The 25,097-nt window shown below is 46.2% G+C and overlaps 1 protein-coding gene and 1 long non-coding RNA gene across 2 annotated transcripts in view, besides 2 other annotated features; one reads left to right on the top strand and one right to left on the bottom strand.

The window, feature by feature from the left end:
* Positions 1-25,097, top strand: part of DLGAP2 (DLG associated protein 2) — a 970,849-nt gene that overhangs the window by 832,433 nt on the left and 113,319 nt on the right. The window lies entirely within an intron of this gene.
* The window catches only part of DLGAP2-AS1 (DLGAP2 antisense RNA 1), a 56,156-nt gene that overhangs the window by 4,552 nt on the left and 26,507 nt on the right, over positions 1-25,097 (bottom strand). The gene's annotated exons all lie outside the window — the stretch shown is intronic.
* Positions 7,753-8,279: an enhancer, noted in NCBI's record as "H3K4me1 hESC enhancer chr8:1525979-1526505 (GRCh37/hg19 assembly coordinates)". NCBI's record gives its function as "activates a minimal SCP1, AML or CMV promoter by ChIP-STARR-seq in naive H9 embryonic stem cells {active_cell/tissue: H9 hESC(naive)}" and the evidence as "EXISTENCE:reporter gene assay evidence [ECO:0000049][PMID:30033119]".
* Positions 16,383-16,882: an enhancer, noted in NCBI's record as "H3K4me1 hESC enhancer chr8:1534609-1535108 (GRCh37/hg19 assembly coordinates)". NCBI's record gives its function as "activates a minimal SCP1, AML or CMV promoter by ChIP-STARR-seq in primed H9 embryonic stem cells {active_cell/tissue: H9 hESC(primed)}" and the evidence as "EXISTENCE:reporter gene assay evidence [ECO:0000049][PMID:30033119]".

Consider the following 25,097-nt stretch of genomic DNA (forward strand, 5'->3'; position numbering starts at 1 on the left):
CCTGTGTTTCCAGGAAACAAGGGCACGCTGAGCTGTAGTGAGTGTGGACAAAATTCTCTTGAAAGATTTTAACAGTGGAGATGTCAGAAGCACATCATAGGGACCTCAGATTAAACAGGAAAGACAAGACCGGGGAGGCACATACACATCCATGTGCCGTCTTCATTCTGCTGGCCTCCAGGGTCATGTTAACTGTGCTGGGAACGACTTGGGTTTCACCCACGTGAACGCCCAGCACCCCCTATGACTGTGGCTGGCACCATGATGTCGTCTCTGCATCCTGTTCCATTACGCACAGCCCTTTCATAATGTTCACTCCTGGGGGCTCTTTCAATCTAGGCACATTTAAATATCAGCATTTTTAACGTGTAGCAGGTGAATATTCATATCCCAAACATGTTCTCCTAATCCAATTCCTCATTTGTCTTAGTTTTAAAATTGATTTCTGAGTTGACCATTCCCACCTAAGCTTTGAGAAGGCTCAGTTGGATTTCACATGTTCACCACAGTGTAGGTGCAGACGCTGTAATGCCCAAGAGGCTGGCTGTGGAGGCGTCTGCTGGGATGGAGAGGAGAGAAGGATGAAGAGAGGACACATCTGCTGGGATGGAGGGAGGGGTGAACTGTGGGGGTGTCTGATGAGATGGAGAGGAGAGAGGGGTAAACTGGAGGGACATCTTCTGGGATGGAGAGGAGAGGGGTGAACTGCGGGGGTGTCTGATGAGATGGAGAGGAGAGAGGGTGAACTGTGGGGATGTCTGATGAGATGGAGAGGAGAGAGGGTGAACTGTGGGGATGTCTGATGAGATGGAGAAGAGAGAGGGGTGAACTGGAGGGGCGTCTTCTGGGATGGAGAGGAGAGAGGGTGAACTGTGGGGGTGTCTGATGAGATGGAGAGGAGAGAGGGGTGAACTGTGGGGCGTCTGATGAGATGGAGAAGAGAGAGCGGTGAACTGGAGGGGCATCTTCTGGGATGGAGAGGAGAGAGGTGAACTGTGGGGGCATCTGATGAGATGGGGAGGAGAGAGGGTGAACTGTGGGGACATCTGATGAGATGGAGAGGAGAAAGGGGTGAACTGTGGGGGCATCTTCTGGGATGGAGAGGAGAGAGGGTGAACTGTGGGGGCATCTGATGAGATGGAGAGGGGAGAGGGTGAACTCTGGGGGTGTCTGATGAGATGGAGAAGAGAGAGGGGTGAACTGGAGGGGTGTCTTCTGGGATGGAGAGGAGAGAGGTGAACTGTGCGGGCATCTGATGAGATGGGGAGGAGAGAGGGTGAACTGTGGGGGCATCTGATGAGATGGAGAGGAGAGAGGGGTGAACTGTGGGGGCATCTGATGAGATGGAGAGGAGAGAGGGTGAATTGTGGGGTGTCTGATGAGATGGAGAGGAGAGAGGGGTGAACTGTGGGGTGTCTGATGAGATGGAGAGGAGAAAGGGGTGAACTGGAGGGTTGTCTTCTGGGATGGAGAGGAGAGAGGAGTGAACTGTGGGGTGTCTGATGAGATGGAGAGGGGAGAGGGGTGAACTGGAGGGGCATCTTCTGGGACGGAGAGGAGAGAGGGGGTGAACTATGGGGGCATCTGATGAGATGGAGAGAGAGAAGGGTGAACTGTGGGGGCATCTTCTGGGATGGAGAGGAGAGAGGGTGAACTGTGGGGGCGTCTGATGAGATGGAGAGGAGAGAGGGTGAACTGTGGGGGCGTCTTCTGGGATGGAGAGGAGACGGGGTGAACTATGGGGCGTCTGATGAGATGGAGAGGAGAGAGGGTAAACTGTGGGGGCGTCTGCTGGGATGGAGAGGAGACAGGGTGAACTGTGGGGGCGTCTAATGAGATGGAGAGGAGAGAGGGTAAACTGTGGGGGCGTCTGCTGGGATGGAGAGGAGAGAGGGTGAACTGTGGGGGCGTCTGATGAGATGGAGAGGAGAGAGGGTGAACTGTGGGGGCGTCTGATGAGACGGAGAGGAGAGAGGGTGAACTGTGGGGATGTCTGATGAGATGGAGAGGAGAGAGGGTGAACTGTGGGGGCGTCTGATGAGATGGAGAGGAGAGAGGGTGAACTGGAGGGGCATCTTCTGGGATGGAGAGGAGAGAGGGTGAACTGTGGGGGTGTCTGATGAGATGGAGAGGAGAGAGGGTGAACTGTGGGGGCATCTGATGAGATGGAGAGGAGAGGGGGTGAACTATGGGGGCATCTGCTGGAATAGAGAGGAGAGAGGTGAACTGTGGGGGCATCTGATGAGATGGAGAGGAGAAAGGAGTGAACTGTGGGGGCGTCTTCTGGGATGGAGAGGAGAGAGGGTGAACTGTGGGTTGTCTGATGAGATGGAGAGGAGAGAGGGGTGAACTGTGGGGGCATCTGCTGGAATAGAGACGAGAGAGGTGAACTGTGGGGCGTCTGATGAGATGGAGAGGAGAGAAGGGTGAACTGTGGGGGCATCTTCTGGGATGGAGAGGAGAGAGGGTGAACTGTGGGGGCGTCTGATGAGATGGAGAGGAGAGAGGGTGAACTGTGGGGGCGTCTGCTGGTATGGAGAGGAGAGGGTGAACTGTGGGGGCGACTGATGGGATGGAGAGGAGAGAGGGTGAACTGGAGGGGCATCTTCTGGGATGGAGAGGAGAGAGGGTGGACTGTGGGGGTGTCTGATGAGATGGAGAGGAGAGAGGGTGAACTGTGGGGGCGTCTGATGAGATGGAGAGGAGAGAGGGGTGAACTGTGGGGGCATCTGATGAGATGGAGAGGAGAGAGGGGTGAACTGTGGGGGCATCTGATGAGATGGAGAGGAGAGAGGGTTGAACTGTGGGGGCATCTGATGAGATGGAGAGGAGAGATGGTGAACTGGAGGGGTGTCTGATGAGATGGAGATGAGAGAGGGTGAAGTATTGGGGGCATCTGATGAGATGGAGAGGAGAGAGGGTGAACTGGAGGGGCGTCTTCTGGGATGGAGAGGAGAGAGGGTGGACTGTGGGGGTGTCTGATGAGATGGAGAGGAGAGAGGGTGAACTGTGGGGGCATCTGATGAGATGGAGAGGAGAGAGGGGTGAACTGTGGGGGCATCTGATGAGATGGAGAGGAGAGATGGTGAACTGGAGGGGTAATCTGATGAGATGGAGATGAGAGAGGGTGAAGTGTCAGGGGCATCTGATGAGATGGAGAGGAGAGAGGGTGAACTGGAGGGGCGTCTTCTGGGATGGAGAGGAGAGAGGGTGGACTGTGGGGGTGTCTGATGAGATGGAGAGGAGAGAGGGTGAACTGTGGGGGCATCTGATGAGATGGAGGGGAGAGAGGGGTGAACTGTGGGGGCGTCTGATGAGATGGAGGGGAGAGAGGGGTGAACTGTGGGGGCGTCTGATGAGATGGAGAGGAGAGAAGGTGAACTGTGGGGGCATCTAATGGGATTGAGAAGACAGAAAGGGTGAAGAGTGTCTGAGAGAAAAGTCCTTTAGACCCCTGACTGCCATCCGTGGGTTTCACAGCTTGGGGAGCATATTCTTGCTTAAGTTATATTTAGTCATCAATAATAACAGCTCGTTTATTCGGGAAGTATGCAGGAAACATCACGTGCTGTTCTGGTGCCCAAATGCAGGTAAACTAACACCAGAGAATGGAGCTTTCAGTCCAGATGCTGGCAAGCAAGGGCCTGCCAAGGGCCTTTTTTGTGAATAAAGTTTTATTGGAATGTGGCCCGCTCACTGGTCATCATGTTGCTGTGGGTACCTCCCAGCTTCAGGCAGGGCTGAGCAGGTGTGAGGCACCCCGACAGCCGGCAGACCCTAGAATACTTACATCTGGGCCTTTACAGAAGGTGTGAGCTGACCCCTTAGAATCTAACAGACCCAGTGCACTTCAGTGAGTAGTCATAAGTGGCGTAGGTAACTTACAAGTGTAAAGTGAGGTGCTCTCTAAATGCGTGAGACAGGACTCCTAACCCATTCTGGGAGCTCCAGGCTTGTCTCCCTGCAGACTCACATTTGCATTGAGGGGTCCACCCTAGAGCATTAGGGTAAGCGGTGGGTAGGAGAGCATCAGCCCTGCACAGAGCAGGACCAAGTTCCCAAAGACAGCATATTTACGGGAGAGGGAAATAATATTTTATAGTAACACTATTTCATGTTGAATGCCAACTCTGTTGAATCACTCAGGTGCAATCAGAAAATGGAAACAGGTTCTGCGTCACCAGATTTTAGTGTATGGGGGGTAACGTGAGACAGGAGAGCAATGAACTAGGCACAGCACCGGCAATAATTGCAGGACTTGTAATACACCAAGAACAACAGCCATCCCAGCCCTCGCCGCTCTGGTAACTGTGCTGAAGCCAACACCATGACCCAAGCCTTAGAGATGAAGACCCTGTCTCAGCGAGTCACACCACCGGAAGTCAACTCTAGGTCTCTCAGTTTTACGCGGCTAAACCATGCTGCCCCCTGCCCCCGGAGGCAGCAGAATCTCCCCTCGGTGATGAGTCACCTCCCTCGGTGATGAGTCCTGTGTGTGGTCTTCCCACCAGAGCCTCAATACCATCGAGCAAGCACATTTATTAAACAGTTAGTTGACATTTCCATTTTGTTATGACCCAAATCATGTGTTACTGCAAATAAAAGCTTCCACTTAGGCTGAGCTAAGCACCTTTACTGTGCTGAGTTGATAAAGTTGGTTGACCCACATTAAACTGCCAATAATCAGCCAATATTTAAAAGCAGAAATTGTATATGGTTCAACCTGATCATTCCGGACACAAGAAAGGAAACCCACGAACATACGTGTGACAGGCATCTCACTCTGCATAAATATGTGACTCATGAGATTTTGCAAGCATTGAGAAAATACCTAATGAGTCTTGAAGATGTTTCTTCGCCTAAGAATTGTATTTGGAATCCACTGTTGTGCTTCCTGCTAGTGACTGAGTATCTTCCACAAACACACACGTGTGCACACACTCACTACACAGGGACAGAGAGAGGCAAGCGAGGGAGAAACGCAATGTTAGGTCATAATAACGCACAACAAGAGACTATGAACAATACAAAAAATCATCACAGACGACAGAGTTTCTTCCTCTTTAGGAGTGACTAGTATTCCACACCGTATCTGCTGCATTTTCATCCACTCACCCTTTGATGACAGAGGTTGACTCTGTGACTTGGCGATTGTGAGCAGTGCTGTGGCAAACGTGGGAAGGCAGACGTGAATGGAAGCAGAGGGCATTAGGTTACATGAAATAAGCCAAAATACAGAAAAACAAACACCGCAAATCCCCACCTAAATACAGGACCTAAAACAATGGAACTCACAGGTGCAGACAGTGGAATGGAGGTTACAGAAGCTGGGGGTGCGGAAAATGGAGAGTTGAGGGTCAAAAGAACCACCCTCCGTGAGACAGGAGGATATTCTTTATTATTATTATTATTATTATTATTATTATTATTTAAGTTCTAGGGTACATGTGCACAATGTGCAGGTTTGCTACATATGTATACATGTGCCATGTTGGTGTGCTGTACCCATTAACTCGTCATTTACATTAGATATATCTCCTAATGCTTTCCCTCCCCCCTCCCCCCACCCCATAACAGGCCCTAGTGTGTGATGTTCCCCTTCCTGTGTCCAAGTCTTCTCATTGTTCAATTCCCACCTATGAGTGAGAACATGTGGTGTTTGGTTTTTTGTTCTTGTGATAGTTTGCTCAGAATGATGGTTTCTAGCTTCATCCATGTCCCTACAAAGGACATGAACTTGTCCTTTTTATGGCTGCGTAGTTTTCCATGGTGTATATGTGCCACATTTTCTTAATCCAGTCTATCATTGATGGACATTTGGGTTGGTTCCAAGTCTTTGCTATTGTGAATAGTGCTGTAATAAACATACATGTGCATGTGCCTTTATAGCAGCATGATTTATAGTCCTTCCGGTATATACCCAGTAATGGGATGGCTGGGTCAAATGGTATTTCTAGTTCTAGATCCTTGAGGAATCGCCACACTGTCTTCCACAATGGTTGAACTAGTTTACAGTCCCACCAACAGTGTAAAAGTGTTCCTATTTCTCCACATCCTCTCCAGCACCTGTTGTTTCCTGACTTTTTAATGATCGCCATTCTAACTGGTGTGCGATGGTGTCTCATTGTGGTTTTGATTTGCATTTCTCTGATGGCCAGTGATGATGAGCATTTTTTCATGTGTCTGTTGGCTGCATAAATGTCTTCTTTTGAGAAGTGTCTGTTCATGTCCTTCGCCCACTTGTTGATGGGGTTGTTTATTTTTTTCTTGTAAATTTATTTGAGTTCTTTGTAGATTCTGGATATTAGCCCTTTGTCAGATGAGTAGATTGCAAAAATTTTCTCCCATTCTGTAGGTTGCCTGTTCGCTCTGATAGTAGTTTCTTTTGCTGTTCAGAAGCTCTTTAGTTTAATTAGATCCCATTTGTCAATTTTTGCTTTTGTTGCCATTGCTTTTGGTGTTCTACACATGAAGTCCTTGCCCATGCGTATGTCCTGAATGATAATGCCTAGGTTTTCTTCTAGGATTTTTATGGTTTTAGGTCTAACATGTAAGTCTTTAATCCATCTTGAATTAATTTTAGTATAAGGTGTAAGGAAGGGATCCAGTTTCAGCTACGTATGGCTAGCCAGTTTTCCCAGCACCATTTATTAAATAGGGAGTCCTTTCTCCATTTCTTGTTTTTGTCAGGTTTGTCAAAGATAAGATGGTTGTAGATGTGTGGTATTATTTCTGAGGGCTCTGTTCTGTTCCATTGGTCTATATCTCTGTTTTGGTACCAGTACAAGGTAATTTATAGATTCAGTGCCATCCCCATCAAGCTACCAATGCCTTTCTTCACAGAATTGGAAAAAACTACTTTAAAGTTCTTATGGAAACAAAAAAGAGCCCACATCGCCAAGACAATCCTAAGCCAAAAGAACAAAGCTGGAGGCATCACACTACCTGACTTCAAACTATACTACAGGCTACAGTAACCGAGACAGGAGGATATTCTTCATGTTTTTAGATCAGTAGCACACTGAATACTGCAAGTAAATGAGTACTGCACATTTCAGTATCACTGAGTGAATTTCTAATGTTCTCATCACAAAAAATGTGAAATATTTCAGCTGATAGCTGTGTTAATTCACTTCATTTTTCTACATTGTACTTAAAATCACAACACACTTTTTAACCCCGTAAATACACATACTTTGTCAATATACGATAAAAATTTTTTAAGGGGCTGGGCGCGGTGGCTCATGCCTGTAATCCCAGCACTTTGGGAGGCCAAGGTGGGCAGATCAACTGAGGTCAGGAGTTCGAGACCAGCCTGGCCAACATGGCAAAACCCCATCTTTACTAAAAATTCAAAAATTAGCTGGTGTAGTGGCACATGCCTGTAATCCCAGCTACTCGAGAGGCTGAGGCAGGAGAATCACTTGAACCCGGGAGGCGGAGGTTGCAGTGAGCCAAGATCGTGCCATTGCCCTCCAGCCTGGGCCACAGAATTACACTCTCTCTCAAAAAAAAAAAAAAAAAAAAAAATTTAAAGCAAGTAAATGCCACAGGATATCCAACAAGAGGTTTATTGTGAGAAATGGAAGAGGAAAGGCATCCCTGCTGGAGGCTGCAGCCTGGTGTCCCTGCAGCAGGGACAGGTGTCAAGAGCAGCCCGGGGCCAGGGGAGTGAGAGGAGCCTGCAGGACCCAGGAAGGAGCAGCAACCTCGGATTCCCACAGGGGCACACAGCATGCTGGGGAACGGGCAGCACTCAGCGTGGTCAGCACTGACCTTCCTCCTCAACCTGCCCCTGGCCCCGCAAGTCCTGAGCCCCGCCCGGTGCCTCCGAGGTGCCACTGGCACCAGCGCGAGTGCTCATAGCTGCCAGAGGCAAGGTGTGGAAATCTGCATTAATGTAATCTGATAACGTTTTGTTGGTAAATTACGTAGACACTCTTATACTAAGTTTATCTTATACCCAAAGTCTGCTTTAAACAAAATTGGTGATTCTATAATTGTATTTTAAACAGAATTGAAAGTAATTGGATACAGTGCACTGAGTGTTTTTCTCTTTTTTGCACAAAAGAGCTTCCCAGCAGGAGCTGACTGACAAAATCTTTTACGTTTCCAAGTGATTCAAATGATAAAAATGATAATGAATGTTTGCTTGTCTCCATGAGGCTTTTATTCTCCTCTTGGTGTACATGAACAACTTCTCTTCACCTGAACAATAGTTAAGAATGCAAATGTTATGGGAAGATCGACTTGCTAATTGTATTTAATTTTAATGTGATAGGTATGGGTTCAGGTTCTTACCCCGGAAGTTATCGGGCACACCAAGTCCTTGGGAGGCTCTGGGCACCTGCGTTGACTGTGCCGTCCCGTGAGATGGAACGTGTCAGCAGTTCTTTTTTGACTGCCTGGTACGGGACTGGAAGAAGGTTGGGTCTTTAATTGGCTGTTATCAGCCCTCCTTCTAAACCACAGAGCAGAGCACTCCTGCAAAGACTGCAGGAATTCTGCTTCAAAATGTTCCACCTCTTGGAACAATGCCAGAATTATTCTGTTAAAAACCATCTTATCTTCCTGCTGTAAAACTGAGAAAAAATCAGTCTTCTCGTTAATCACTTAATATGCACATCCTAATTATATATATAAGCGTTTTCACTTATACCCTGCTATGTTCTCTAACATAGTGCAAGATAATAGAAGGCCTTTTGCTCTCAAAAATAAAAATAAAAACAAGCAGAAATCCTGTCCCACCTGTCTCATGCCCTGGTGTACAGACCCTCGGCCTTGTGTCCCCGATCGGGAAGGTCAGATTCCCAGGGCTGATGGCCCCGTCTGTGGGTCAGACCCTGCCCACGTGCAGAGCACCACTTAGAATTATTATCAACTAATTGAAATGCAAATTCCAAGTCCTACTGAATCCAATTTACTGCATTTCTAAATTAGCTTATGTATTAGTGATTGAGATACTGGACTTGCTTATATATTAACATTTGAAATACTTGAATAACTAATTCAATTCTGATTGTGATGAAAGGTAGACCAAATAATTTCATTTGGAGGCCTTTGCTTTTTTTTCTGCTTAGTTCAATTAGAAAGTCAAAGCTCTAATAATTTTGAATGTCTCTGGGTCATTCTCTAATGAAGGTAGCACTTTAAATTTATAAAGAAAAAAGAGCTTATTTCAAAGATACTTCATATCATATGTAAAGATAAATTCTGATGGATTAAATATGTAAGCATTAAAATCGTATATATACACACACATATATGTGTGTATATATATAGACACATATGTATATGAGTATTCTGTACTCTGGGGGTGGAGAAGACGTATCTGGGCATGATTCCATGGGGCGTAATTATAAAGATACCACTTTAAATTCATAAAATTAAAAACTTATTTATGATACAAGCCAACAAGCAAACTAAAAATAATATCGCCAAAGTAAAATCATAATAAAAACCTGAGAGTTTTTCAATATAAGTAACAAATGTTTATATTTTTAATATATAAAGATTGCCTTACAAATCAATAAAGAAAAAAATGAATGACGCAGTGCAAAAATGAATAAAGGCCAAGCAAAGACTATTCATCTACCTTATCAATAACTAAAACGTTTGGAGAGCATGCCATTTAAAACTGAAAATCTAAAAGTTTATTCTAGAGAAATTCCTGAGAAGCATGCAAAGACGTAAAAAATACAGCCACGTTCACTATTGTGTTACATATCGTTGCGTGACACGGTACATTGCCTAAGTGCCCATCGTGGGCGTTGGTTTGGGTGATGTGGGGGCACTAAGGAAGCCCCCACCATGCGCTGCTACCACCCTCAGCAAAAGGCTGCTCTGGAGGAGGTAAAGTGTGTGCTGCAGCACAGGCAGCCGCAGGGCAGCACGACTCAGCCAGCTCTGCACCTGACCTGATGGCCTCAACACCTCCACCGAAAGCCTGATGGAATAAGAGCCCCGCCCATTTCCCAGCACTGATACCATTCACATCCATTCCCACTGTTCTGTACACGATGACCAAGATTTCATCAAAATTTAGGAGACACCGTAAAATTAAAGCTCATTCTCAAGACACAGGGCAATCAATACAAGATTCAGAAGTGACATGGATGTTCCTTCAAACTCTCAGAGAAAACGTGAAAGTAACTATAGTTATGCGATCAAGCAGCGGCACAGTGGGCCTGGCTAAATGGGAAGCAGTGGAGAGAGGAGAACTCTAAGAAAGAGGCAGAGGGAAAGACCACAGATGGGGTTCATGGTTTCAGAAATAAAGGATTTTGCTGGTGAGTCATCAGCAGGCTCGACATAACGAAGAAATCAGTGACCTTGAAGATAGGTTCATGGAAATTACCCAGCGGAGGCTCGAAGAGAAAGCGTGGGAATCGAAAGGCAGAAAAGAGCATCCGAGAGCTGCAGAGAGCTATCAAATGTTCTCACACACATAGAACCTGAATCCCAGCCAGAAAGACGAAAGCAGAGCAGAACAGAAGAAACGTGGGAAGCACTAATGCCAGGGAGTTTCTAACATTAGAAAGATAGATCACATCACAGACTGAAGAACCTGAGAAAATCTCAAAGACAGATCAACACCAGAAACAAAACCCCATACACATCTACACACCACAGTCGAACTACCAGAAGTGAAGGATACAGACAAACCCCCACACATCTACATACCACAGTCAAACTACCAGAAGTGAAGGATACAGACAAAACCCCACACATCTACACACCACAGTAAACTACCAGAAGTGAAGGATACAGACAAAACCCCACACATCTACACACCATAGTCGAACTACCAGAAGTGAAGGATACAGACAAAACCCCACACATCTATACACCACAGTAAACTACCAGAAGTGAAGTATACAGACAAAACCCTGCACACATCTACACACACCACAAACTACCAGAAGTGAAGGATACAGACAAAACCCCACACATATACACACACACCACAGTCAAACTACCAGAAGTGAAGGATACAGACAAAACCCCACACACATCTACACACCACAGTCAAACTACCAGAAGTGAAGGATACAGACAAAACACCACACATCTACACACCACAGTCAAACTACCAGAAGAGAAGGATACAGACAAAACCCCACACACATCTACACAACACAGTCAAACTACCAGAAGTGAAGGATACAGACAAAACCCCGCACATATATGCACCACAGTCAAACTACCAGAAGAGAAGGATACAGACAAAACCCCACACACATCGACACAACACAGTCAAACTACCAGAAGAGAAGGATACAGACAAAACTCCACACATATACACACACCACAGTCAAACTACCAGAAGTGAAGGATACAGAAAAAACCCCACACACATATACACACCACAGTCAAACTACCAGAAGTGAAGGATACAGACAAAACTCCACACATATATACACCACAGTCAAACTACCAGAAGTGAAGGATACAGACAAAACTCCACACACATCTACACACCACAGTCAAACTACCAGAAAGATACAGACAAAACCCCACACATATACACACACCACAGTCAAACTACCAGAAGTGAAGGATACAGACAAAACACCACACACATCTACACACCACAGTCAACCAGAAAGATACAGACAAAACTCCACACATATACACACCGCAGTCAAACTACCAGAAGTGAAGGATACAGATAAAACCCCACACACATACACACACCACAGTCAAACTACCACAAGTGAACGATACAGACAAACCCCCACACACGTCTACACACCACAGTCAAACTACCAGAAGTGAAGGATACAGACAAACCCCCACACATATATACACACCATAGTCAAACTACCAGAAGTGAAGGATACAGACAAAACACCACACATCTACACACCACAGTCAAACTACCAGAAGTGAAGGATACAGACAATCCCCACACACATGTACACACCACAGTCAAACTACCAGAAGTGAAGGATACAGAAAAAACCCCACACACGTCTACACACCACAGTCAAACTACCAGAAGTGAAGGATACAGACAAAACCCCGCACACATACACACCACAGTCAAACTACCAGAAGTGAAGGATACAGATAAAACCCCACACATGTACACACCACAGTCAAACTACCAGAAGTGAAGGATACAGACAAACCCCCACACACATGTACACACCACAGTCAAACTACCAGAAGTGAAGGATACAGACAAGCCCCACACACATGTACACACCACAGTCAAACTACCAGAAGTGAAGGATACAGATAAAACCTTAAAAAAAAAAAAAAAGAAAGAAAGAAAATTATAGACCATTATGTACAGAAGAATAAAGAATTACAGCACACTTTTCATCGTAAATGATTCTGGCCAGAACACCGTAAAGTGACATACTTAAAACAGGAAAAGACGTTAGCCCAGAATTCTAGAATGAGAGAAAATATCTTTCATAAATCAAAATGAAAAAAGTCATCCTTAGGAAAAAAAAAAAAAAGCTAGGGAAATTCATTGCTAGCAGACCAGTACTGCAAGAAATAGGAAATGAAGTTCGTTCTTTTCTTTTCCCCCGCCAAGATGGAGTCTCGCTCCGTCACCCAGGCTGGAGTGTGGTGGCACAGTCTCAGCTCACTGCAACCTCTTTCTCCTGGGTTCAAACGATTCTCCTGCCTCAGCCTCCCGAGCAGCTGGGATTACAAGTGTGCACCACCACACCCGACTAATTTTTGTATTTTATATTTTTAGTAGAGACAAGAGTTTCACCATGTTGGCCAGACTGGTCTCAAACTCCTGACCTGAAATGGCCCACCCTCCTCGGCTTCCTAAGAAAGGAAGTTCTTTAAGCATGGCTCTGAAAGAAGAGGGCAGCAGGAACTTAGAACTGCAGTGAGAGGGAGGGCTGCATGTCTCGGTTTTGGTGGTGGCTGCATGACCGTGCATTTGCGGAAATTCTTACAGCCATGCAGAAAGTGAGACGCACTGACCCATTCAGCATCTGAACCAGAGCTGCAAAAGTGAATCTTATGAAACAATGGATCGTGGAGGATAAAACAGAATCCTGTGAAGCCATTTCTCCAAGGTGAGAAATAAACTGTATTCTTGTACGGGAAGAGAAGGGGCATACCTCAGCCTCCTGACACTTCCGTTTTGGGATATGTTTGTGAGTAGGCTATTTAAGTCATGAGATGGCTCCAAGCCTCTTCTCCCTCCCATCTGCCATGGGTTGGGTGAGGTGATCAAGTGAGTAACCAAGAGAACACCAGCTATTGATGGACGCATCTGAGAAGAGCTCAGAAGACGGGCTCAGATATTCCTCTGGCCCATGAGCCTGCCCTGGGATCACCTTTTGCTCCACACAGCGTAACACCACCATGCTGGGCAAGCTGGGTACCTGGCCTGGGGATCTCCTAGCATCCACTGGCCTGTGGCGGGTGGCTGTGCCTCCGTAGGCAGGGAGCGTCGGGGCTGCTTTTGAGACCTTGCAGAGTCAGGCTGACATCTGATTAAGAAGCCTTTCAAAGAAATCACAGTTTTTGCAGAATCCATCTAGAAAGATGAAAGACCCTTCAGAGCCACTTCCTGTGTTTCTAAGCCCAGCAGTCCTGACGTTTTTGCCTTTCCTGATGCTGAGACTCCATTTGGTATCTGGGCTCTCACAGCTTCCTTCAGATCACTCAGCTCCTAGCACCTCTCGGCCACCAGCTCCAAGTCCTGCCTCTCACATCAAAGGCTGATCTCACGTCTCAGCTTTCTGTTTGAGACCCTCCACGCGCTGGTTGCAGGGGTTTGCCTGATCCCAGTGCAGATCCTTCGTGATCTGCCCCCGGAAAGCCTTGTTCCCCTGACAATTTTCTTCCTCCTCGCTCCTCTGACTTGAAGTCGGCTGTTCACCGTCTCCTCCTTGCTGCCGGTCATCCTTCCATGCCCAGCTCTGATTGCCTCCTCTGGGAAGGCTCCCTGGAGTTACGTCCCCTGCAGCATATTTCCTCACTGCTCGTGCTTGTCTCTACCACATGCCTGTTTGCTTTCCCGAGAGTCCCTATAGCCTTTGAAAGCAAGAGCTGTCTCATTTATCATTGCCATTGCGCCTTCACTGTGAGGCATTATATGTGCTCCTCACACACTGGATGAATGGATAAAACCATCGTCTTATGACTCATTTGTCAGGGATTATTGATAATCAACTTAATAAATGAACTGCTATTAGCGACGCCGATAAAGTAATCCTGTTTAGAGCCTAAACATAAAGATAATCAATTTAAAAGACGTGTGCAAAGCTGATTCACATTCACCTGATTTCTTAAGCTCCTTTAGGTTCTATTAGTCAAAACGGGAGCAGACGCCAGACTCCTCGTGCATGCCACACACCTGCAACCTGCAGTTCTTCAGTTAATAGGAAGCCATATGCTCCTGGGGAGGAGGCATCCTCTCTCACAGTCTCCTCCACTACCGTGGGCTGCTGGCTCTTCATTTTTAGTTTCAGCTGGAGGGAAGCGGAGGGGAGATTCTGGTCCAGCCTGTGTTGCAACCGTTGCCAGCACGTGCAGAGAGAGCATTTGCACTCTGATCGGTCCAGCCCTAGGGGTTCCCAGGTCCCTGACGATGTCTCTCCTCAGAAGCTCAGGCATCTGGGCATGAGGTGAGGACCTGGGGATTCGAATGGCACTTGGCACTTGCTCCTGGGGGTCTCTGCCCATCAGGGAAGCAGCTCACCCCACACCCGGCGGACCCAACAGGCAGCCATGAAGAAGGGCACCAGAACATTATCCATCCACCTGTTTCGTGCTGTTTCCAGTATCTTACCTTACATCTCTTCATGGATTTCATTGTTTCTCTAGTAAATTCTTCACTTTTTACCTCATTTCTTTCTTCTTGTGCATACCAACTCTAGTCTTATTCTAACTTTTTTCTATTAGAAAAAATGTCCTTAACGTTAAATCAAAAACTTAAGTACAATGAAAGACAAATTAAAAACTTCCATTTTTAAATTTTGTGCTTTACTTATTCTTTTCTGTTATTTCTATGTTTCTCATATTTTACTTCAACATCTAGTTTTTGGCCTGCTACAACTGATATTGTTTTCATGAAGACCTTAGTTAAGAGGGAGGCTCCTAAGACTGGCGCCTGGTTTGTTCATTAATACTCCTGGCTGTGAATGAGGGCTCACACCTGTGATCCCAGCACTTTGGGAGGCGGAGGCGGGCAGATCACTTGAGATCAGGAGTTTGAGACCAGCCTGGCCAAGATGGCAAAACCCTGTCTGTACTAAAAATACAAAAAATTAGCCAGGCATTTTGGCCCGTGCCTGTAATCCCAGGTACCCAGGTGGCCGAGCCAGGAGAATTGCGTGAATCTGGGAGGCGGAGGTTGCAGTGAGCTGAGATTGCACCACTGCACTCCAGCCTGGGCAAAAGACCGAAAAAGAAAAAAAAATACTCCTTAGGGCTGTCAGTTCAGGGGGCTGTAGTGAGTGCTGTCTTTTACCATCCAGCACTTTTATGGCGAACTGCAACTGAAAAACACATAATCCACAGACCACGTAAGCTTTTCTTTTTTTAACCCAACTGTGCCATTGCAGGTGCAAACAAGAAATGCAGCTTAGCGAGCTCACCACAGGGAGACATCCCTAGAGATGCGTCTCTGGAAAACCTGGCGGCCCCGTGCCCCCACCACCCAGCCGTGGGCAGTGCCTGGGCAGTACTGTAGCCAGCCTCTCCATACACTCGCAGTCCATTCATTAAATCAGTTATTAAACTGATGCTTAAACTGTAAAATTATGACTCATTGTAAAGAGCTAACACACGTAATTGTGTGAAGTGGAGTGTCACTCTGTCTCTGGCATGTCCATCGCCAGGGGTTTCCACTGCCCATGACTTTATCCTGTCCGGACACTTTCGTGTGTGTATAAAAATATACACATATGGGCGTAGTTTACAATAAACATGAGGTCCCACTGCACGCATTACTGTACAATTTCCTTTTTTCTCCCAAATATTTTGTTAGTTTTCCGTTGCTGTCATAAAAACTGCCACAAACTTAGTGTCTTAAAACAGGGCGTTTATCCTCAGCCAAGTCCTGCAGGTCATGAGCCAACACGGGTTTCTCTGGGCTAAGGCCGAGGTGTCGGCAGCCTGCCCTCCTTCCGGGTCTCTCTGGGCTAAGGCTGAGGTGTCGGCCGTTGGCCCTTCTTTCCGGGGATCTGCGTGGGGAGTGGTTTTCTTTCACATCAAGATGTTACAGTTGCGGGACCGAAGCCCCGTGTCCTTGTTGTCAGCTGAAGTCAGCCCCCTGTTTCCAGAGGCCACCCACAGGGATGTGTTAGCTCTGGCCCCTGCCTGCATCTTCAGAGCCAGCTGGACGGGGTGTGGGGTCTCTCTCACTCTGCAGACCCCTCCTGTCTCACGTCCACATCGATCTCCGACTTGCTCTGCCTTCCTCTTCTGCTTTCAATGCTCCTGCGCTGAGAGGGGGCCTGCCTGGGTCATCAGGAGATTCTCACTACCCCGGGGTCTGCTGGTTAGCAACCTCGATTCCACCTGCAACCTTCATGCCCGCTTGATGTGTAGCGTAACGTGTTCACAGATGTGGCACCAGCGTGGAAGGCCCTAGGGGTCAGAGTCCCGCCTGCAGAGGTACCACGTGCGTCCTTCTGTGGCGGACTCTAGGCCCAGATGTCACTGGACGGACACACTGCTGCGTGACTTTAACATTACCGTTGGGGAACTGCCTCTATGTTTTTATTACTGCACAGAGTGTTGTAAAGAAAATATTTGCGAATGCTCAACCACCAGTCTACTTATTGCCAAGGTATCTCTTCTTCTGGGTAGCATCATAAGGGGATTTTCTGGGCATGTGGCTCCCTCTGAAGCTTTTATGCTTTCACCTTCATCAGTGCAGCTAAGGAGATTCTGACTAGAATGGAGGTCTTCCAAATTGCTTTTTTCTAATGGGCTGATTATACCCATAATCTATGCATAGTTTAACCCCTGCCTCTGGAAAGTCCTAGCGGGAGGGGCAAGGATCCCACAGACACTGGCTTATTGCCTGTTTCCCTAAAAACATTACAGGATGCTTTCTTAAAAACATCCTACTTCCAAAGGGCAGTTTGAGAATCTCCTAATTTTAGGCAGCAAAGCCTTATCCCAAATACTGGTCTCTTTGCAGAAATCCATTGCCCGTTCATCTATAGGAACTATTTAATTTCAGGAAATAACTTTCTTAGGAGATTTTTATAGATTTGCTTCTCAGGAAAAATAACTTTGCCTATAGTGGTCTGCCAGCTTCAGGGGGATGGTCTTGAAAAAGGAAAATGGTGATCTGGGGTGAGGCCAGAGAGGAACTGGCTCTTGGGTGGATTTATACATTTTCAGTTGTTTTCTAATTCATTAACTTCTGCTTTTATTGCTATTTCTTCTTTTGTTTTCTTAGACCTATTTGTTGTTTCATTCTTTATCTGAAAGTATATTTACTAATAAAAGTATATAAGGCTATGAATGTTTCTAAGAATATATCTTAGCTACATCACACATATATTGATAGATGATGCTTTTATAGTCACTGTTATCTAAATACTCAGCAATTTTGACTTTGATTTCCACTTTGACTCAAGGGGTGAATGAATGAAATGAAGGAGAGATAGGGTTACTATTAAAAATATAGCTACTATTAATTATTTTTCTTTCTTTAAATTACTTTTTCAAATTTTTATAATGTGTAAAATTATTTAATAGTGGCCATTTTCTCTTTTCAGGCCCTGCTTTTGGTAGGGAGTTCGGTTGAGAGACATAAATAAAATACCATGATTTTTTTCCATTTCTAATTATATGAAGTCTTAACTTTCCAAAACAGTTAAGTCATTCATGATAACACTCAGAGCCACAAAATGCATTTACTAGCTCTTCACTATACCAATGAGCTACTTTTCTGAGTTTTCCTGTAACTGTGACACGTGCATTCCTGCCCCATAACCAAGGGCCTTACCTGAGTTCATCACGTGACTCCTAATAGAGTTCTGGTAGCACAATAGAAAAATAATTTTTCACATTCGCACGATGAAGAGTGTTCAGAACAACCATTCCTTAAATATGAGTCACTCTCTTTACTGTCATAGCCTTCAGAATGTCTAACAGCAGCAGCACGGATAGTTCAGCTAAATACTTCTGTATTTTTAGCTGAAAAAATTCATGCAAGGCTTTCTGTTCATGTCTCTTAATCTAATGGCTATTGAAGGTGCGACCTTCGAGATTCCAGAGAATGTACTGAATGAAGAGAACAGAGCAAAAAAGAGTCCAATCTGTAAGATCTGAGGACACAGTTAAGTGGAATCACACCATTAGTAGAACCCGGTGCTAACCTTGAAGCAGCAGCGAGTTTTACTAAACAGCTCATCTTATATGTAATTCTCCCCAATAGTAAAGACAATGTGTTCTATGAGTTCATTGTCTTCTTTGGCGTATGATGCCTAATTTATGAATTTTTTCATTTATTCATTCGGTAAGTAAATATGTATTAAGGACTGAATAGATAAATAAAATAATTGTCAAGTAAATAATATGTGTACAGACTGTTAAAACATTAACAGTGTTTAACAGGGTGCTGTGGCTCAGGCCTGTAATCCCACAACTTTGGGAGGCTGAGGCAGGTGGATCACTTGAGGTCAGCAGTTCAAGACCAGTCTGGCCAACATGGTGAAAGCTGTCTTTACTAAAAAAAAAAAAAAAAAAAAAAAAGGAAAAAAAATTAGCTGAGCATGGTAGTACATGCCTGTAATCCCAGCTACTCAGAAGGCTGGAGCAGGAGAATCCCTTGACCCCGGGAGGTGGAGGTTGCATTGAGCCGAGATCACGCCACTGCACTCCAACCTGGGCGACAGAGTGTGACTTCATCTCAAGTTTGGAGGGAAATCTGCCTTACTCAAAATCTGCCAATGTGAGCATTAATCTCTTGTAAAACACACCTTCACATTCAGGTATTTGAGCAAATGCCATGGTACCATATCCTAGTTGACACACACAAACTATCACACACAGCAATGAAAACTAATAATGTATGAATGCACAGTAATCCCAATGGTGGTTATCTCTGGGTTTGTGGTTGAATTGTATTTTCTTTTAAATATTTTCCAAATTTTCTGCAAAAAGCATGTAGCACTAAAATAAGAAAAGATAACTGAAAAACATTAGTTTCGTTGTCTTCTAGGCCCCCTAGCAACCTATAAGTACAGTTTTTCCAATAGTAACACTGCATTTAAAAACAAATTATCCTTGTATTGCAGTTACCATAGTAATAAATTTGTCATCAACAGCTTTATTTTACTTTTCAGCTATGAGTGGAACAATAATTCTGTGTGTTTCAAAGCCTCAGAAATGAAACTTATTCCTTGCATGTTGCCACATTTTGTGTCTCCAAGGTAATTTTTTTTGAGGTAGGGTCTTGCTGTGTTGCCCAGGCTGGAGTGCAGTGGGAGGATCACAGCTCCCTGCAGCCTCAACCTCCCCAGGCTCTAATCCTCTCACCGCAGCCTCCCCAGTATCTGGGACTACAGGCTTGCGCCACCATGCCCAGCTAATTTTTGTTTTTGTTTTTGTTATTGTTTGTAGAGATGGGGTTTCATCACGTAGCCCAGGCTGGTCTCAAACTCCTGGGCTCAAGCAATCCACCCGCCCAAGGCTGTTTTTAAAGAAGATGTACAGTAAGGGAATACGTAGAGACAGAACCACATTACAGGGAGTGGTTGGGGTTTGCTGTTAGCACCGGGGAATCCCTTGCCTTGATGGAGGGTGAGGAATGCGCATTTGAGTATTGCTAGAAGCTTTCTGAGGTCACTTCTGACCCCGCAACACCATTTACATTTGGGGGATGGACTGTACTAGTTTCTGGGGCTGCCATAACAAAGTACCACACACAGCGTGGCTTAAAACAATAGAAATTTACCCTCTCCAGTTCTGGGAGCCAGAAGTCTGAAATCAAGGTGTGGGCAAGGCCTCGCTCCCTGCACGTCTCTAGGGGAGGATCCCTCCTTCCGCCTCAGTGTCCGTGGCTGTGGGTGCATCACTCCACCCTCGGCCTCTGCCTCCCAGGACCTTCCCCATCTTCGTCCCTTCTCCTCTTCTCATAAGAGCACTGTCATCCTCGGAGCCCACTCCGGTGACCTCATCTCAACTCATTTCGTCTGCAGTGACCCTATTTCCAAGCGAGGTCATGTTCTGAGGCACTGGGGGTGAGGATCTCCATGGACCTCTTCTACAGGGAGACACAGTTCAGGCCGTACCAGAAGCAATCGCGTCGCCAGGATAATGAAGTATGCATAAAATGGCACCCCTCTATCTTGGTAATTATCAGACACTGTTTCTGAAACTTATTTCCATCTCCGTGTTGGCTTTTCTCTTCCGGAATGTATGGTCAAATATAGGATGTCATTTCTCCAGCTGGGTGACCATGGTGATTTTGCTGCTGACTACTGGAAGGGAAGCACGGATTACTCAGCTGAAACCTGATTTCCTTTCCTCAGTTATCTGTCTTCAAATCAGTTTAGCGATTGTTGGTGATTCTTCATGAAGAGCAGTAACTTTAGCTGGCTAAAATAAAGAGAAATGTGTACTCCACACTCTCAAATTCCACTTTAATTTCATGATTAACTGAGTTTGTAGTTCTAAGAAATTGGTTGCTCAAAATCTTGTTCTGTCCTATTCACTTGAAAATGGGAATCCCACCTCTGTGCTCCTGGGTCCTGAGGGACATTCCTTCCTCCCCATCCCGTTCGGAGGCTCCCTCTGGTCCAGAGCAGACAGCCCCTTGCATCCCTGAGCCCCACCCCTGGCAGAGGCCTTCACTGTCAATGTCATTACCAGGGACTGGTGGATCTCTATCCCTTAACCATTCTTTAAGCCACCTTAAAGAAGCCATCTTCAATGGTGTTGGAGGACCAAGCAAAACATATGTGCTTCTAGTCTTGGGATAATTAAGGAAGCTCAAAACATGAGGATGTAGATATGAAAACATCTTACACATTCTTGCCCTTCCGTGCTCGGGACCCAACCCCATGCCGGCAGCTGCAGAACTGGGTGCACTCAATCTCAGGTGCAGCCCATGAAGACACCAGCCCTTAGCCCTGTCCAGACAGACCTGATGTCTTTTAACCTTCAGTCTGTTTTCCTATTCAAAGTTCTGTTCTTCCCTTCCCTCTGCAAAGCCCAAACATTAATTTCTAGGGAATTACAGGGAAGGGAGGTTAGAGCATGGGGGTCACTCACACCCCCTCCCCCTCCCTCTTCCTAACGCTGGCTCCATGTGGGCCAGGTGGGAAGGAGGATGGAGGAGAAAGAAGGCTCTTGACTGAGCAAAAAGAAAGGGCCCTCCTGGTCTCTGGTCACTGCTTCTCTAAGACTGGACGTTGGACTGGGCATTTTTCAATTCTTTTGAGTTTCCTGATGGGGTCTTCCCCTCCTTTCTTTTCTAACATGGAGAGATGGCTCAGCCTCCCCTTTCCTGCCTAACCCCCTCCTCCCACTCCACCTCCACTGTTCACCCCTGCAGCCTATTTGTGGGGTACGTTTCTTTGGGACTCACTGTGGGTAAAATGACCCACACCCGATACTTGTCACACATCTACTTGACCTGCAGGAAATATGCGTGTGATTGCTCTACCCAAAGGCATGTGTGCAGCCAGTTTACACCCCACACACCCGCATATCTCCTGGCCCCACATCACACCCAACTGCATCCTGGATCTCCAGCGGGAGGCCCTCACCCATCCCCAGCAGAGGGAAACCCTGCTGCCCTTCACGTTTGTGGATTCTGAAGCCCTCGCTTGGCCTCTGCGTCAATAATTCTGACATGAACTACAAACTCCCACGGACTCCCAGGGAGGTTCCTCCCACCCGGGGCGGTGGATGGAGGAGGAGCGGAGGGAGGAGGTGGCATGCAGACAGGCCTTGGAAATCCGAGCACATTTTCCAGGATCTAGCTTCATGCCTCCTGCCACACGATTCTGCTGGGAGCTGGGGCAGTGAGTATCCAGTCTCATTTATCCCTTATCCACCATGGCCCTTGTTGGGCCCAGACACACAAACAGCTGCGATGGGTGCAGAGCAAGGTGCCCCAGCACACGCCCGCCCAGGCTTACCTAACGGGGCCATCTCCTGGCCGCAGCTCTCCATGGTTCCCCACTGCCAGTTTAGTCCAGTTCACATTTACCAAGATCCTTCACAAAATACGCCCCCATCGGCTGTTTCTTATTAGTCTAAGGTTGATTATGTTCGATTATGTTCAGTAAAAATCTTTAATTATGAAAACTCTGAAAATCTTCACATACTATTTTTTATCCCTTTCTAACATCTTTATATTGACGATTGGCCTGACGTGTGCCTCTGGCCCCCTTGACTTTACCCCTGTGTTTCTGCTTGGAAAGGGCTCCCTGAAGTGCAAATATGGTCCTGTTGCACATTTGCCCCCTGAAGCTCTGGAAAGCGGTCCCCAAATCCCATCCGGATGTAACTGGAAGGAAATTCCAACATCCTCCTAGTCCAGCCGAGGGGGTTCCCACCACGGATTTCCTTTTCAGGGCTCCCATTGCATTACTGGACAACTTCTAACTATTGAAAATTTTCCATTGGGAGAATTCTCCGTGTGTCATTTTTCTGTAGTTCCATTTAATGCAGTGATAGTTATTTTTTATCTTCTGTGTTTTCTCTACTTCCTGATTAAATTATGACCTCCTCAAATGGAAGGGCAATATAAACTCATTTCTTTTTATTATCCCACAGTAATTGTCAGGCTCAGACTTCTCTGTGAGCATCACCGACTGACCAGGGTACCGCTGGCTGGGATGTTACATGGAGCAGTTACACTAGCATTTTAGTTTCAAATGGATGCAGATTCAGCAAACACTTTGATTATCTAAAATCACAGCAGGATGATAGATTTTACTGTCTACTGATCCTTACATTTATATTATGAAGTACTCAAATTATTTATTAATTCAGCATTTGTGATTATACATTGCAATAGTAAAAATCTTTTGGGGAGTGATTTCAACAAGATAATGGAGTAGGAAGGTCTGGGCCCTCCTTCCCCTCAACAAACACAGCCGTTCAACAATGATTTGTGGACAAATTCCCTTTACAAAAATTTAGACACTAGGCCTGGCGTGGTGGCTCACTCCTGTAATCCCAGCACTTTAGGAGACCAAGGCGGGTGGATCATGAGGTCAGGAGATTGAGACCATCCTGGGTAACACGGTGCAACCCCGTCTCTACTAAAAATACAAAACAATTAGCTGGGCGTGGTGGCGGGCGCCTGTAGTCCCAGCTACTCAGGAGGCTGAGGCAGGAGAATCACGTGAACCCAGGAGGCGGAGCTTGCAGTGAGCCGAGATCGCGCCACTGCACTCCAGCCTGGGCGACAAGGCAAGACTCCGTCTCAAAAATAATAATAATAATAAAATAAAAATAAATAAATAAATAAATGACACTAATTGAAAATCTCCTGCACCTTGGGAAAATACAAAACCAGACTTACCAAAGATGCTCGGGAGATTCTCTCAAGAATTCCTACCCTGGCACAGCACCCTACAATCAGGAAGAGACCCCCTGGCTTCTACCTTCTCCCAGGGGAGGGAAGGATCAGTTAGCACATCCAGCACCCCAACTTTTCCAAGAGAGCTCCCAGAGTCTGGCCTCTGACCTGCAAGCATTGGGCCTGCTGGAGTCTGGCCCACTCTGGTTGCCTGGGGGAGAATGAAGACAGTGGCATGGCTGGTAGATGCCGTAGATCCTCTCCCTCCTCAGCACAGAATAAGCAAACAAGAACTCCATCTCTCAGCTTCCCACTGAAGAGGAAAGAGGTGATCCATGCATCCCACACCTCAGCTTCTTCAGGGTTGCACAGAGAACTGGCATCTACCTTCCAAGCCTTCCAGTCTTGGAGCTCTGTTGGGTCCAGCAGTCCAGCCACATAGGGGAGGACAGAGATGACAGCTTAGACTAGTAGATGCGATGGTGTTCTTCCCTGATTCAGGCAGAGCAAACAGGCGAAAACCACAGCTACCTTCTTCTCTCTGGGAAGGGAAAGAATTGGCTGAGACCCTCAGAATCTCTGAATGATTGGTGGGGGTCTTCTCATGTATAAGACAAGGTCATGAAGACTGAGAAAGGCACCAGTGCGGAAAGTCAAGGAAAATGAAAACTCAGGCAAAGATATTTCAAAGAAATAAAACAAATCTCCAGAAACTGACCCTAGTGAAATGAAGTTATATGATTTATTCGACAGAGAATTCAAAACAAGGGATATGAAGATGCCCCCTAAGGTCAAGAGAACAATGAAGGAACAAAATGAGAATTTAAGTAAAGTGACAGGACATATTTTTTAAATATGTGCCAAACAGAAATTATGGAGCTGAAGAACATAATTGACCTGAAAATTTTACTGGAAAGATTCAACAACAGACCAGATCAAACAGAAGAAAGCATCGGTGAACTCAAAGACAACATCGTTACAAATAATTCAATCAGGACAGCAAAAAATAGCAATAAAAAGAGTGAAGAAAGCTTACAGAACTTACGGGAAATCACCAAACAGATGGGGTTTCACCATGTTGGCCAGGCTGATCCTGAACTCCTGACCTCAAGTGATCTGCCCACCTCGGCCTCCCAAAGTGCTGGGATTACAGTTGTGAGCCACCGCGCCCGGCCAGGTCACACTCTCTTATAATGACTAATAGAACTAGAGTTTAACTGCCAAAAATATAGTTTTTTTAAAAAAAAGTTAAACATTTTAAAAGTCGAACACTCATTCCTGCCCCTGATCTTTCTCTGTGCTCTACCTCCTGCCAGCCATGCCCCCTGGGCACAGCCAATTCTGTCCCACCTCTGACTTCTTCCTGCCACTCACTGGGGTCTCCAGCTGTCAGCAGGACCATCGTGGGGTCACTCCACTAACTGGCCTCCCGCTTCCCATCTTGAATCCATACACACTGTCCTCCACACAACAGCTCCTGGGGTTTCTTTTTTTTTCTTTTTTTCTTTTTTGAGACAAGATCTTGCTCTGTCACCCAGGCTGGAGTGCAGGGCGTCATCTCAGCCCACTGCAGCCTCAACCTCCCGGGTGCAAGCGATTCTCCCACCTC

Source organism: Homo sapiens, chromosome 8 (genome assembly GCF_000001405.40).
Source record: "Homo sapiens chromosome 8, GRCh38.p14 Primary Assembly".
Classification (NCBI taxonomy): Eukaryota; Metazoa; Chordata; class Mammalia; order Primates; family Hominidae; genus Homo; species Homo sapiens.